Source organism: Homo sapiens, chromosome 4 (assembly GCF_000001405.40).
Source record: "Homo sapiens chromosome 4, GRCh38.p14 Primary Assembly".
Taxonomy (NCBI): domain Eukaryota; kingdom Metazoa; phylum Chordata; class Mammalia; order Primates; family Hominidae; genus Homo; species Homo sapiens.
The window spans coordinates 84729248-84745138 of NC_000004.12; the positions used below are offsets into that span (position 1 = coordinate 84729248).

The following is a 15891-nucleotide window of genomic DNA, read 5'->3' on the forward strand; positions in this document are numbered from 1 at the left end:
AAATATACATTATTTTCCTCCCTTAGGATTCAGAGGAACAACCAGATTTTGAATTTTCAGCATATCCCAGGCTTACATCTTACACTATCTATAATATTTGTTTAAAATACAGAATTATAGTATAATTCATTTGTTTTAATTATGAAAATTACTCCCCAAGGAAGGTTACTGTGTGAAGAGTACAAATCATTTTTATATGAGAATACAGAATTTTCCATATGTACTTAATTTTTCTCGATATTAATAATTATTACTATTTTTATTACAATAATTATAGTTGATAAACTATTAACGCTTTAAAGTCTGAATATGTTCCATATTCTATACACAAACATCCAATTTAAAATCAATAAATAAAATTCAAAACTTAGACTAGGTAAGCTATTTGTTATACAGCATGTAACATTATCAAAGTTTAAGAAATAAAACTTTAATGAGTAAAAAAAAAAAATCACCTGATTTATTTCTAACAAATCAAAGACTTTAAAACAAGAAATTAACTTTTGAATCACCACTGTATTCTTCAGCTTAAGGGACAGGACAAAAAAAGGAAATGTTACTGAGAAATAATAATTATTTTAATCAATAAGGCAAAAGATCAAATCATTTGCCCTTGCACCAGGTAAAGTCTCTTTTAAATATCAAGAGGCTTCAAAAGCAACTTTAGGTTGGCACAAACCTATTCTATCACAAAAAGTACTGACTATATTAAACATGCATGCAAGGAGGGCAATAAATTCATGGAAGTTTAAAGGAAAGAACTGATTGATCTCTAACTCTGGGAGGCAATATTTTTTAATATAGATCAGGGCAGAGGTGGATTTACTATGAAGTTAAGGTAGTTTAAACTTTAGTGGCCTTCACTTCCATTGAGTCCCTTTCAAAACCCTGGAAACAAAGCCCTACTAATTTTATATTCATAATTTTTACTCTTTTTCTTAGAGAGCCCTCTCCTTAAACTGCATAAACTACAGGGCCCATAAAATTGAATTCGAGGCCATTTTAGTGGAAAAGTTTTAGATTTAGGAAAATTCTATAGAATGCTAAAGAGAAAGCAAAGGAAAAAAGTCTATAACTTAGGGAAGACAAGAGTGCTGGCAGTTCATTCACTCAATATTCACTAAGTATTAGGCACTTTGTTAGCACTAGAGAGATAAAACCTAATATGGAATACATTCACTATCAATGGATAATGTCATAAAATGGGCAAACATTAGAATCTTTTCTTTTTCAAAGTGATTCAACTAGGGGACTGTTGAAATATACTCCTACCTTACTACACTATTTAGCAGCTGCAGCCTAGAAGGGGTTCCTTAACTACTCTAGGTTTCAGTTTCTCATCTGTAAAACTGGGATAACAATATTAACTGTACTTCAGAGGGCTGTTATAAGACTGAAACAAAATGCATTCAAACTGCTCTATAGAGCATCTAGCTCAGGAGTGTCCAATCTTTTTGCTTCCTAGGCCATATTGGAAGAAAAATTGTCTTGGGCCACACATAAAATACACTAAGACTAACAATAGCTGATGAGTTTAAAAAAAAAATCTCTCTCTCTGTATTTTTTTTTTTAGATGGAGTTTTGCTCTTGTTGCCCAGGCTAGAGTGCAATGGCGTGATCTCGGCTCACCGCAACCTCCACCTCTCTGGTTCAAGCAATTCTGTCTCAGCCTCCCGAGTAGCTGGGATTACAGGCATGCGCCACCACACTTGGCTAATTTTCTATTTTTAGTAGAGACAGGGTTTCTCCATGTTGGTCAGGATGGTCTCGAACTCCCGACCTCAGGTGATCCACCTGCCTCGGCCTCCCAAAGTGCTGGGATTACAGGTGTGAGCCACTGCGCCTGGCAAAAGTCTCATTATGTTTTAAGAAAGTTTATGAGTTTGTGTTGGGTTGCATTCAAAGCCATCCTGGGCCATATGTGACCTGTGGGCCTCGGATTGGACAACCTTGATCTAGCTCATTGTGCTTTGTAAATATTAGCTCCTCTTTTTTGATTTGATGGTAGAATTCAGTGGGATAATAGATACTACCACTTTTTGAAAATTTGTTTTTAACTCTGCCGGAATGCACATTCCAAAAGATACAAGTTGACATTTAATGGCATTTCAAATTTACAAAAGATGTGAACTACTAAAACCAAAATAAAAATTACTTCAGAAAATTTCATCATAGCAGATTAATCCTGACCTTGATTTGTGCATGAACTATGCAGTATGAATTCTACATTCTGTACCTGTCTCTCCTTCCTGACTGCTTTTTCCTTTTAGGTGAAAGCATCTCCAACATTTCTCAACTGTCTAGTATTTTCCAATATGTAACCCACCTGTTAAAAAAATAAATTCCATCTGGTGCATACTTATTTATGAGCGTGTCTGTTTCGATTTCACAGGTTGGTGAATTCCTTTGCCTAGGTAAAATGCTGATGATACTACGGTTGTAGATGTGAACTCTTAATAGGGTACTTTGTTTTTATCTGATATAGAAGTTTAAATACACTTTTGTAAACAAATGACATTATTATAAGGAAGGAAAGGAGTATAGATAAAACATATTATGGTTATTGTAAAAATAATTCAAAAGTAAATGCCTCAGTTAAATCTAAACAGTGAGCTGGTCATATATTTGGGAGAGCATATTTATATTTTAGTATTCTTGAATGGATTCAATTTAAGAAGTGACTCAATAAGAAATATTTTATCAAATTGCTAATGGCTTAAATTCTTAATAGATTGTTAGGGAAAAAAGATTAAGAACTGAAAGATCATATTGTTGCTTTGCTCTTATAAAAGTAAGTGCTAGTAACAGGCTGCAAAAATATGGGTGGATTACCTTTTTTACACAGTGCTCCAGAATTAGAAATTATAGTGCTTTAAGGCACAGCTGCATCAAGTATGGCATTCTTGGCAGAATTGAATAGCTTTGAGAAAAGTAGACTTTAGAGAGCTATCTTCCAAAATCTTAATAACTATCAGCAGGAGCTAAGACCTACGCATATTATTATTTTAAAAATGTTACTGTTAATTGACAAATTGTAATTGTTTATGGTGTACAAAGTAATGCTATATGTATATGGTTTGAATGATTAAATCAAGCTAATTAACATATTCATCGCCTCAAATACCTAACAATTTTTGTGCCAAGAACGTTTGAAAAGTACTCTTAGCAATTTTGAAATGTACAATAGATTATTATCAATTATAGTCACTATGGAATGTAATAGATCTCAAAAAATGATTTCCTCCTGTTTATCTGACTGTACCCTTTGACCAACATCTCCCTATTCCCCTCACTTCTTGGCCTCTGGAAACCTTCATTCTACTCTGTTTCTGAGTTTGATTGTTTTAGATGCCCCATATAAGTGAGATGGATCATGTAGTATTTGTCCTTCGTACCTTGTTTATTTCATGTAACATAATGTCCTCCAGGTTCTTATACGTTGTTACAAATGACAGGCTTTCCTTATTTTTTTAAGGCTGAATACTATTCCATTATGTATACACAGCATATTTTCTTTATCTATTACTCTGCTGATAGACACTTAAGTTGATGCTAAGCTCTATATTAGCATCAGGACTGGGGTTAAACCAATCAGTACAAGATAAATGGAGCCAGGGTGTTTGTCAGAGAAAAACAAGAGGCATTGGAACAATTCAAGCTGCCTCACCTTATATGATCAGAGCTACTTAGAAGATTCATGTGTTCTAATATACAGTGCTTATTCTGGACCAGACACTATTCTAAGTACTTAACTAATTTTAATGAACTAAATCCTCCTAACAGTCCTACGAGGTGGAACTATTATTTGCTCCAATTCAGGCATAATAAAATGAAAACTCAGAGAGGTTTAATGACCCATAACCCAGCTATAATAGCAAAGTGGCAGAGTCAGGTCTTAAATTTGGGCAGTCTGGCTCTGGAGTCTGTAATCTAAACCTCTTTATTATGATGTCTCCTTCTTGCACTGTTGCATCTTTTCACTCCACCTCCACTCTGAAGTTATCAATTTAATAGCGTATGTTGAATTTTTAAAATTAGCTATTTGAGGTAATTGACTAAATAGAGAAAAAACGCTTACAGAGGAAAATAAAAACTTGAAAGAGCCATTGTGATCATTGAATTCTGCATACTCACCGCCACATTTGTCTCTTGCTCAGTTTCTGGCACGTAAGGGTAATGGTTATAAAACATATCATTTCGCACCATCTTTTTCCTCATCCTGCAGGGCCCTTCTGTCATCTCCAGCATCCACTTGTCGAGGTGGGAGCCGATGGGAGGGCCCCACAGCCCCCGCTCCCTCAACAGCTCGCACTCGATCTGACACCACTCTTCTGTCACGTACTTCAGGGCATTCTGCTGACGCTGACAGGAAAGAGTCCAGGTCGGTTTTCAAGCAAAAGCAGGAGTAACAGTAACAAGTCTACAAGTCACTGAAAATCAAGTTATTATTTGGAAACAAACACAATCCACACCATTTCAGTTAACATTATAAAAGTAAAATTACATTTGTTTATGGTTAAAGTAAGAGGTTTTGTTGTAGAAGGTGGACTTCTTAAAGCATCAAGTAAATGACAGACATGGATAGGGTAGAGTGTGCAATATAGTGAAACAGAGAGTTGAAAGAAGTTTGTTTCTCTGGCACAGGAAAGATGGTAATATTACTATGAATTATATTGAAATGGTTAGCCCTATGTGCGTTAATAAATATATATGGTAATTTAAGGATACACCAAACTGTAAAATAGCTACCACAACATGTACGGGGGATATTCTAGGAAGTCAGATGAAGAAAAAGTGCCAACAGGCTTGATTACTGGTGAACTAGGTAAACATTTCCAAAGATTTTAGATGAAGAATATAAACATGCAGCACTAAGAGGAAACTTGATGTTCATACAAAAATCAAAGAGAAACCATTTTCTTCTGGCCACTGGGATAGATCCAAACCATTTTTTAAATGGAAATTATGACACAGTACAAGTTCTTATCTATCAAATGACAAATATATAACATTTCAACAGTAGACAGTGACAAATAACTTGCCCAATGATTCATGGAATATAAGTATATACAATTTAAATCTAAAAATAAAGATTTCTAAAATATAACTGACAGTAAAGATTACTGAGTGAACAATTAAAAAATTATCTATCACAGTAGTACTGATATGTTCTTTGGTTGGGGAAACTAAGGATCTAGTGTTATATCCGTAAAATATTAGCAGTTAACCATTCAGAAACCTTTAATAGATCCAAAATAGCTAATCTGAGAATAAAATATTTAAGATAAGCTTTTGAGTAATTATGAATTTACCAAGAGAATTTCAATAAATTTATTTTTCACTGACATAATCACCAAGCACTTGTAGTATAGTAAAAAATAATTTCATTCAATCTTGTAATTTTTTACAATTTTAAGAGACTTCTCAGAGACTTGGATGCGTATTTTCACAATCTCCTTGTTAAAAGCCTGAAAAAGAAGGCTCATTCTTACATTTTTATTTTTATTAGGAACAAAGACATGTAACATATCAGTAGTGAATGTCAACAGAATTCAGCTGGGCTCATTTTCAGTTAGTTGCTTTTTGAAATGCAGTTTGTTGACAGAAGATTAAAATTTTCCATCCTAAAATCAGTAGCCAAAGTAGCTGATGGCAGGAATAATTAAAACCATCATCTGATGACGAATGCAGTCCAGCAAGTACCTTAAAATGGGCAGAAAGATACCAGGACAAACAGAGACCTTTCACATACAAAAAATGTAAAACAAACCATTATGATGATTATAAGTCCTTACCTCCTGATATTCTTTATATTGTGTATCTACTAAGTCACGAACAACAGCAATGTGAGTAAACATCCACTGCGAAATCTCCTAACAATGGATGGAAAAAGAGTCTTAATATTTCATGGATTTCTGGAAAAAAATAGTTAATTACCCTTGAAATTAATGCTAAATAATTGGTTAAAATTCTGCCAAAAGCACCAAAACAGAAAACTAAAACAAAAAATTCAGAATGAATTATATGCTTGTGTGATGGACACAGATCTGCATGCTCTCCCACCCCCAAAGCCCCTTCAAGGAAGGGCTTGCTGCCCACGTGTCTGGGCTGCTCTCAACACCCTCAGGGATGGCCTTAGCTGCAGAGGGCCGACGGGGTGCCCCACATCCAACGATCTAGGGGTAAGAAGACTCACACATTTCAGCTTAATGGAGGTCAATTATAAGAGGGTATTCTGTCCTCAAAGCTCCACTTAGCTTGGCTGAGGCTGTCACTAGACCAGCACTGCAGCCTGACTTTTCCCTATGTCCAATCCTGCTTTCTTCTCCCTTCCACAGGTATTGATCCCAAGGGCACCCCCTAATATACATTATGCACACTAAACTCCATCTCAGAGTTTGCTTCCTAGAAAACCTAACCTGATGCATGAGATGGCTGACACATACTATTTCTCTCAGATCCTTTTCATAGCTGCCACTTAGATTCTGGGATGGTGAAGGAAGTAGGATGAGGAAGAAGTTAATGCTGGAGGCAGATGAGCTTTTAAAAAACCATAGGTATACACAACAAGATTGTAAAAATTAAAAAAGGCTTGTTTGGCTATTGCCTTAAAATTTATATAATTATTAGTAATAACATTATTGAAAGCTGGGAAAATTGAGAGAAAATTATCTATAGTCTGATCATACATTAATCTCTAAATCTCATCTTATATCCAGTTATAAAATGGGTATAAGTAAATAGCACTCATATATAGTTTTATCATAAGAAAATGAGAGAAATTCCCATAGTCTGGATTACTTCTATCTCTATTCTAAAGCAAAAATACAGAAAAGTTTCATTTCCAATCAATTGCTTGTACATGTTAAGTATATTATACAAAATACTACAACTAATATCAGCAATGAAACTAAAAAAGTACCTGGGTGGAAAGACTGTGTTTATTAAGACCACTTTCTTTTCGATTCCTTCTTGATCCTGTTAACTTGGAAAGACCAAAGCCACTGCTGACACGGGATAATTTGGACTGTGTGGTGGGCGCTAAAGCTTCTCCTCGACTTATGCATTTCTTTTCATGGGCTATTAAAAAATCAAATTAGATTATTTTATAATTTCTCCATGTATTTATGAGTCTTACTTTAAAAACTTATCTGGTTATAAACTACAACCCTGTAGTTAACAAAAGTAGCACATATTACAGATGCAGATATTACATTCAGATATCACAAATTTATTTATTGGTAATCTTAAGGATGACTGCTCGCAAATTGTATTAGCTGAACTGATAGTTGGTTGAAAGTTCACAGCTCTGTAATAACATGCAAATTTAACTATAACGAGTTTCTATATTAATAATTCATAATCACCTAATTAAAACCTTTGGTGTTGGGTATACTTCGCAACTTAGAAACTATTTGGATTTTTAAAAGGCTATACAGCTTATACACTAGATTATATAATGCCACCAGAGAATCTATGGTAATAAGCTATAATTTAATACGTCAATATTACTGCAACAAAATGTATGAATATTCCCATACCAAGTAGGACAAAGAAAGATAAATTAGGTTCTGTTATAAAGTCAGTTTTGGCACCAAATTAATGAAAAAACAGAGCTTTTTGAATTTCAAAATTATAGTTAAGGGATTGTGGACCTGTAGCCAAGACAGTGACAATACTAGAGCTGTTAGCAATGCATTACATTCTGAATGCATAAACGCCTGATGTATAACATACCTCAGATGCTAAAAAAAAAAAAAAAAAAATCAAAGAGAACTAAGATCTCAGTATAATCATTCTAGAATGGTTGTTATATTGATTTTAAGGATGACTTTATAGAATCCTTTTGTGAATGCTGTAGTCACATATTTAAAGTATACCCATATATGATAGCCACATGTAAATCTCCTGGTGGTATGATCTCTGTAGGCCTTACCCAAATGATTCTGCCAGCACTTCAGGGCAGCTTCTTCAATGAGTGGCCTTGCTGTAGCTATGTCCACGTGGCCCCTTTCATTCACAGGTAGAGTTACTTTGAAAAGTTCCTCTAAGACTTGTTTCTTACTATGTATCAGTTCAGTCCAAACTCTGTTGACAGCTTTTATGAGAAGCTGACGCCCTAGTAAACAAACAAACAAACAAACAAAAAAGTAAGCAAATGATCAAAACACAGTATAAAGTTAGTTTTTATTTTTCTTCATGTTTACATGTGGGAATTTCGACTACAGTATTTAATGTAAAAAAAACAAAGCTCATGTTGTATCTAGCCCAGTGAAAAGGTTATTTAGACAACTGAAACTGTGGTTGCCTATTTAGAAAACATTAAAAAAACTTTATATTCATACAAAAGAACATTTTTATTTATAAAATTGGAAATTATATATATGTAATTAACTAACTTTTTCTAGATTAAAAACTTATCCCCCATTTAAAAGTAATTTTTAAATCTGAATGTTTAAGGTGAGTTCAAAACTAAGTTAGTATTCTTGAATATTTTGCACAAGAAAAGAAATATTTTGAAAAGACTTTTACTATGAAATTCATTCTTGCTTTGGATTCCTTGTTTGTATGCCTGACTCCTCCTCCAGACCAGTCGGCCCTCAGCAATCACCTGAGGGCCTGTGATAACAAGCTGCTAGTCCCTCACCTCAGGGTTTCTGATTCAGTAGGTCAGAGTAGGGCAACAGAATCTGCTTTTCTACCAAGTTCCCAAATGATATTGATGTTGCTATTCTGAGGACCTTGCTATGAGAACCAACGCCACTTCCTCAGGGGGTGAAAATAATAACCGCATCTTTGGTGTTTAGGGTTCAAAACATTTTGGTGAAAGAACAGAGAATAAATTCATGTTTAAATGAAGGAATGAAATTAAAATGAGTGCTGGGCTTCTCAACAATGAAACCATATGTAAAACTATCGCACAGTATTTCTGGGGAGACAAACACCACCAGAGTGATTTCTCTTTATCACTAAACATGTGGAAATAAGAAATCAATCCATACAAAGACTTCAATATGCAATCCTTACAGGATTAGTGGGAAAACCAGATTGAAAAAAAAAAGAGAGGGGCTGGGCATGGTAGCTCACAGCTGTAATCCCAGCACTTTGGGAGGCCAAGGCCGGTGGATCACTTCAGGTCAGGAGGTTGAGACCAGTCTGGCCAACACGGTGAAATCCTGTCTCTACTAAAAATACAAAAAAAAATTAAGCCAGGCGTGGTGATGTGCACCTGTAGTCCCAGCTATTTAGGAGGCTGAGACATGAGAATCACTTGAACCCGAAAGGTAAAGGTTGTAGTGAGCTGAAATAGTGCCACTGCACTCCACTGTGGGCAACTGAGCAAGATTTTGTTTAAAAAAAAAAAAAAAAAGAGAGAGAGTATAAAGAAGAATAAAAAATAGCACTATTGATAACCTGTCTCAAGCAATATTAGCCTACTCTAATGTGATATGCCTGGCATTATCATTGGGCAGTTCTCTTTATAGTTAATTCCAAGGTAGTATTTGTACTTCTACTTAAGCAAATGTAAATATTAATACCACCACCAAATCTCACAGTGTTACTAAGAAATGATGAGCTTAGCAATATTACTGGTTAGTGCTTTACTGTTATTGGCATGAGGAGACTCTTTATGTATAGGTTGCCCTACTGGGAGAGTTGCTATCAATGCTGGCAGTTTCTGAAGCCAATTTGTTGGTTATGTCTTAAAAACTGGAGATAAAACAACCACAATTTAAAAACATCCCAAGTCAAGGCAATTACCTTCACTAATATCTTGGCTGTAACTACCATCTGGTTCAATGTCCGAGGGGATCATAATGTGCCATGTGGTCATGCGGGCTTCTGCTTCCAGTCCAAATCCATCCACGTTGCTGAAAAATTCCAGTCAGTTTAAACTTTATGAAGGAAATGATTAGCTGAAGACTACAGTAACTAAGAATTACTCTATTTCCATTACCAGCAGACACTGAATGTCTACTCAGCAGATGCACAGAACAGAATTCTAGTTTGCCAGGAAGATGCCATTTTTAAGAGGTGATCAAATAAATCCACCTGACTAAATGTAATTAGACTGATCTATAGCATCAAGATTATTACCTTAATATTTAACATGCCTTTTGATTATTGTGAACATTTTTACCTAATAATTACAAAATGTTCATTCAACTAAGAACATTTTTCTAATATGCCTGTGTCCTCTCTCCAGTCTTATATCTCACTACTCTGCTCCTGTAGTGAAGTAGTTGCAGTTCCCCTGAGGTGCCACACTCCTTCTTCCCTCTGGGCATTCATACAGACTGTTCTTTCCTCCAGTAGCAGTTGTCTCCATTCTCTTGTCCTCCCCAACCAGGTCTCAAGCTGCAGCTCAGCAGGTATTTCTTTCAGGTTAGGGGCCCCTCTTATGTGCCTCCAAAGCACTGGGTTGTTCCTAGCAGATCACTCAATACAGCTGACTGGTCTTGCTTAGCTGTTTCCCCTCAAGAAGGCTGCCACAGGGTCTATCATACTCACATTTTGTCCCAGCCCCTAATTCAATGCTTGGCCCCGGCAGACTCTAATGAAATATCTGTCAAAGCAATCAACTGAAAAATACTAATTTTACTCATTTAACATATAACACTGCATTGAGCTTCACTTTTTACTTCTCTTAGATTTCAATGGTATATATTTTATTTGCTTTAAAAGCAAACTTCCTTATATAAGTGACATATGGTGATAATGGAAAATTTTAAAGGTGTAGAAAACTAAGTTAAAGGAAAAAAAAATACCCATTATTTCACTGCAAAAATTCAACACTTGCCCTTTACCTTTTTACATAAAGGTTTAAATAAAACAGAGTAAGGGTAAAAGAAATGTTACTATCAAAAAAAATAAAGAATTTTGTTGGAATAACATCAAAGCCAAATTTAACATGGCAAACTGAACCTAAAGGATTTACCTTCCAACATGTAGATTTATCAAGCAGTGGGCCAGACAGCTAATGAATTCTTGGTCATGGTTCCCAGGTCCCAGGATCAAGTTTCTGTTTACAGTGAGGACCCTGAGTGAATCAAGCAGAGCTACTTGCTGAGGAACGGTTTTGTGTGCCCGTGAGAACTGGTACAAGATGGTCCTATTGAGGCAATGATACACTGCATCCAGTGACAATCCCTGTGATCTTCTCTTTGACTAAAGACATGAAAGGTATGTTTTTAGTATAATAGACAAAAGTAAAACACCTGTTAATCATTCATACATGAACTTTTATTAGGTCTATTATATACCAGATGCCATGCTAAGTATGCAGGTGCTAAGTTAAAAGATACAAAGCTCTTACTATTATGGATTTCAGAACCCATGAGACACATCAATATCATCTAATGAATGATATGAGGGCTACATAAAAAAAAAGAGCTCCCAGGGAGGAGAGCCACTAACGATGCTGTGGGGCAGAGCAGTCTCCCTGAGAACACGAGGATGTGACAGCTAGGGGAGTCTCCTCACAAATATATTTTGTTAGGATAAATGATCTATATTCAAAAGTACTGAAAAAAATTAAGATGTTACTAAAATCATTTTTTTTTGACATTCTAATTTCATCCCCTCATTTGAGAATTTTTCTCTTTGGCTTAAATACAAATATATCCCTTTGAAAAGTCTTAGGTGACATGACAGAGCCTATGTATCTGTGTAGCATATGCTAACAAAACATGTAACAATTATTTCTTACTTTCTACATTAAGTATTAAATAAGATTAATCAATTGTGCCAAACCAGGCCAAACCCTTAATTAAAAGTACTGTGAACATGCACAAAAAATAACAACTTCAAGAGAATATAAACTACAAGGAACTTTGTAAAGATTCAACTGATAAGAGAATATTCTTTTAATATCAACTCTTCATGCTGTGTAAGCCTTTACACATGGATGTAGTATACAGTACAAACCTACCAAACTGTATTACTGTATTAAGGTATTTAAATCTATCTGGGTAGCAAAGAATAATACCTAGGCAACTTTACAAAGGACACATTGGCACCAGGCAATTGGTAATAGGGGAGGGGTTCAAAGTCTGTATCTCTATTCAGTTTTTTTTTTTTTTTTGAGACGGAGTCTTGCTCTGTCACCCAGGCTGGAGTGCAGTACTGTGATCTTGGCTCACTGCAACCTCCACCTCCCAGGTTCAAATGATTCTCCTGCCTCCACCTCCCAAGTAGCTGGAATTACAGGCGCGCACCAACATGCCTGGCTAATTTTTGTATTTTCAGCAGAGACAGGGTCTCACCATGTCGGTCAGGCTGGTCTCCAACTTCTGACCTCAAGTGATCCACCTGCCTTGGCCTCCCAAAGTGCTGATACTACAGGTGTGAGTCACTGCGCCCAGCCTGTCTCTATTCACTTTTAATAAGCTTAGCTTTTTCTTAAATGTTAACATTCATTATCTTATTAGTTATATTTAATTTCAACAATTTTGACACCATAGGCAAAACAGGAAAACATGTACTCTACAACTGATAGTGACAATGGATTACCTGTGCAATTAGTTGAATTATAAAATCTATAAGAAGTTTAGATTCTTTGTTGAACATGCCTTGCCAAAGCTTGTCCACCACACGCTGTGTGAAATAAAACACATTGTTCACCAATACCTGGTAGCTTCCTCCACTGGTAATAGGCAGAGATGCATCTTCCCCTAAATTCCAGTAGGAAAAAAAGTCTAAGAAAATTGATATCTACCAACACAGGACCAGATCCTCAAAAAAAAAATCAGGCTAAGGTAAAATAAGTGTATCTACAACAGGTAGCAATATGACTACTAGCTTTTATGCACTACTTGAAGAAAATGACATTCAATGGCCAGAAATCAGGATAAATAATTTCAGCAGGATAAAGCGTTATGGATTGAAACTACCTGTGGAGTCTCCTATTGCCTAAAGAGAGTCTGTGATAAACAAGCAGTTCCTCAACATAAACTGTCAGTCACAGCTGTTCTCCATTTGAGAGAAAACGGGCCAGTTTATTAGCTCTTAATTGATTTTGTGTATGTAATAAAGGGTAAAACTGTGAAACAAAACTCTGTTTTAGTGTATAGCTCTAATAGCAGTGAAGTAACACAGACAGAAGAGAGCTTCAAGAAAACTGTGAAAAATAAAGTATAATCATTGTTGAGGGGTGTGTTTAGCCCCTCCATCATTACCATCAGCTCTCTCTCTTTCTAAAGCTATCCGAGTGTTTTCAGTGTGTTTGCCATATACATATTGCTTTCAGACTAATCCTCCTAGCTCCTCCTCCTAACCAGAATGCTTCCTCTAAGCCAGGGGTCCCCAACTCCCAGGCCATGGAACGGACCACACAGCAAGAGGTGTGAGGTGGGTGTGCAAGCATTACCACCTGAGCTCCTTCTGTCATATCAGCAGCGGCATTAGATTCTCATTGGAGTGCAAGCCCTATTATGAACCGTGCATGCAAGGGATCCAGGGTTGCACAGTCCTTCCGAGAATCAAATGATAAATGTAATGCTTGCATCATCGCAAAACCGTAATCCCCCCTTAGTCTGTGGAAAAACTGTCCTCCATGAAACTGGTCCCCAGTGCCAAAAAGGTTGGGGACCACTGCTTTAAGCCCTTCCTCCACAGAAATTCTGGAGGTGCCACAGAATTTGATTTTTATTATTCTCACCTAATGCTAAATTGCCCCATTAAGCAAAATTATTTGTGTTGTGTCTTTGTGTAGTATGACTGCTCTAAACTGGTAAGAATAAGTACAAAAGTGTGAATTGACTTGAGAGTGCACAGTTGCATGTTGAGACAATACTAAAGATTTCCTGGCAAATTTACTTCGGGAAAAAAATTGTAATTTAATAGCACAGAGGTTATATGATTAGCACTATTGCTAGGAACTCAAAAGTAGCACATATAGTATACTAACCCATTATGTTTCCTTCTTTTATAATTCTACTTTGTTTTATACACAAATGTTGGCTTCACTGTAAATGTATTAAGTTTTATATTTGTATTGTAATTAGATACAGACATACAGAAAAAACACATTTCAATGTGTTTTGACTCTATGTCCTGGAAGCCATACTAAAAAGATAACATACATATACCTATGACCTAACAATTCCACTCATAGGTATATACTCAACAGATTATGTGTAAGTATTGTACACCTATGTGGTCCATATGAACAAGAATGTTCATAGCAGCTGTTAAAATAATTATCTCAAGCTGAAAACTTTCATATATCTGTCAAGAGTAAAATGACAAATTCATATATTCACATGATGAAATACTATAATGTACTCCTGCTACATGCAACAAGATAGACAAATCTCACAAATATAATGTTGAGTATGAGAAGCTAGACAAAAAAGGAAAGAAAAAAGCTGATGTTAAAAAGTAGTTTTACTTGGGGCTTAGAGAGGAAAGTGATTATAGGTATTTCTATAAAATAAAAACACAGAATTACCTAATAACACATCAGCTGCAAGCAAATGGTCCATCACGCTATCCAAAATGTAAGTTTGAAATTCTTTTTGCTGAGTTCTTGTAGACCTTTCAGGGGAAGCCTAATCAAGAAAATTTAGAATTAGAAACAGAACCAACTAAAACAAAAATATGAGCTCAACCACATTTACATTACCTAATATATTAAAAAGATTAAAAAATTCTACTAATAAATTTGTTTTAAATGCCATGAGAGATGGTATACATGCTATGCTTATGGTCTTTCACGTATTTTCTGACTACAGAATTAAAAAAAATTTAAAGCAAAGGTGAAACATCATCTTCTTTTGAATCCATTATTTAAAACATAGTATTCTAAACATTATATTTATTATATTGTTATAGTTTATATTATATAATATATAGTATATATAATATATAAAACTATATATAATATTGTTATATAAAAACTGTTATAACAGTTTATAACAATATAAACTACAATAATATAATAAATACTTGACTATTATCACACCTCACTTCCAAAAGAGATATGGTGGTTTACAATGAAATACAGGTAAAATAAATAACAAATGAATTATAAAGCCATTAAAACTAATACAAAAACCCAAGAATCTAGTAATCAAGAGGGCATGTCAATAGGGAGGGGAAATACATTTGTAACAAAAAACTAAGCACACAATTTAGCTCTGAGCTTCATAGATGTCAAGAAAAAAATGGTTTACAAAGCTTTTTATTGTCTATAAAAAGAAACACATAGCGTCAAGTGCCTACAGTCCCAGCCACTAGGGAGGCTGGGGTGGGAGGATCACATGATTTTGAGTCAAGCCTGTGCAATACAGCAAGAACCTTTTATTAAAAAAAGTAAGAAGGGGCCGGGCGCGGTGGCTCACGCCTGTAATCCCAGCACTTTGGGAGGCCGAGGCGGGCGGATCACGAGGTCAGGAGATCGAGGCCATCCCGGCTAAAACGGTGAAACCCCGTCTCTACTAAAAATACAAAAAATTAGCCGGGCGTAGTGGCGGGCGCCTGTAGTCCCAGCTACTTGGGAGGCTGAGGCAGGAGAATGGCGTGAACCCGGGAGGCGGAGCTTGCAGTGAGCCGAGATCCCGCCACTGCACTCCAGCCTGGGCGACAGAGCGAGACTCCGTCTCAAAAAAAAAAAAAAAAAAAAAAAAAAAAGTAAGAAGGAAAGAAAAACACAATAGATTGTCAGCAAAGACATATGTTTTCCTAAAATTGTTCTGACAGGAATGTTCTCTGTGGGTTTTTGTAAGGAGGACGGTGAACAACCCTATATAGGTGGTATCTTTGTTAAGTTTTACAATGTACAAAGATGATTTTGAAAATTATCTTATGTTAAAGTGTAGAGCACAAAGTTAAACTGTAGTCTACTGACAACAATTCTACTTGTAATTAGGGTATGAAAATCCAGGTGCA

The 15891-nt window shown here is 35.7% G+C and overlaps 1 protein-coding gene across 29 annotated transcripts in view; it reads right to left on the reverse strand.

Annotated features, from left to right (window-relative positions):
• WDFY3 (WD repeat and FYVE domain containing 3) overlaps positions 1-15891 on the reverse strand; it is a 297094-nt gene that overhangs the window by 59651 nt on the left and 221552 nt on the right. For 27 of the 29 annotated variants that reach the window (XM_011531759.3, XM_047449858.1, XM_011531763.4 and 24 more), the window contains 8 exons: positions 14453-14552; positions 12514-12674; positions 10940-11169; positions 9763-9872; positions 7937-8119; positions 6923-7080; positions 5796-5873; positions 4135-4362 (listed from right to left, as the gene is read on the reverse strand). In XM_011531759.3, coding sequence (XP_011530061.1) covers positions 4135-4362; positions 5796-5873; positions 6923-7080; positions 7937-8119; positions 9763-9872; positions 10940-11169; positions 12514-12674; positions 14453-14552 — 1248 coding nt within the window. Of the gene's footprint in view, positions 1-4134; positions 4363-4411; positions 4431-5795; positions 5874-6922; positions 7081-7936; positions 8120-9762; positions 9873-10939; positions 11170-12513; positions 12675-14452; positions 14553-15891 lie in introns of those variants that run through there. The other 2 variants (XM_011531766.3, XM_011531767.3) reach the window with 2 other exon arrangements.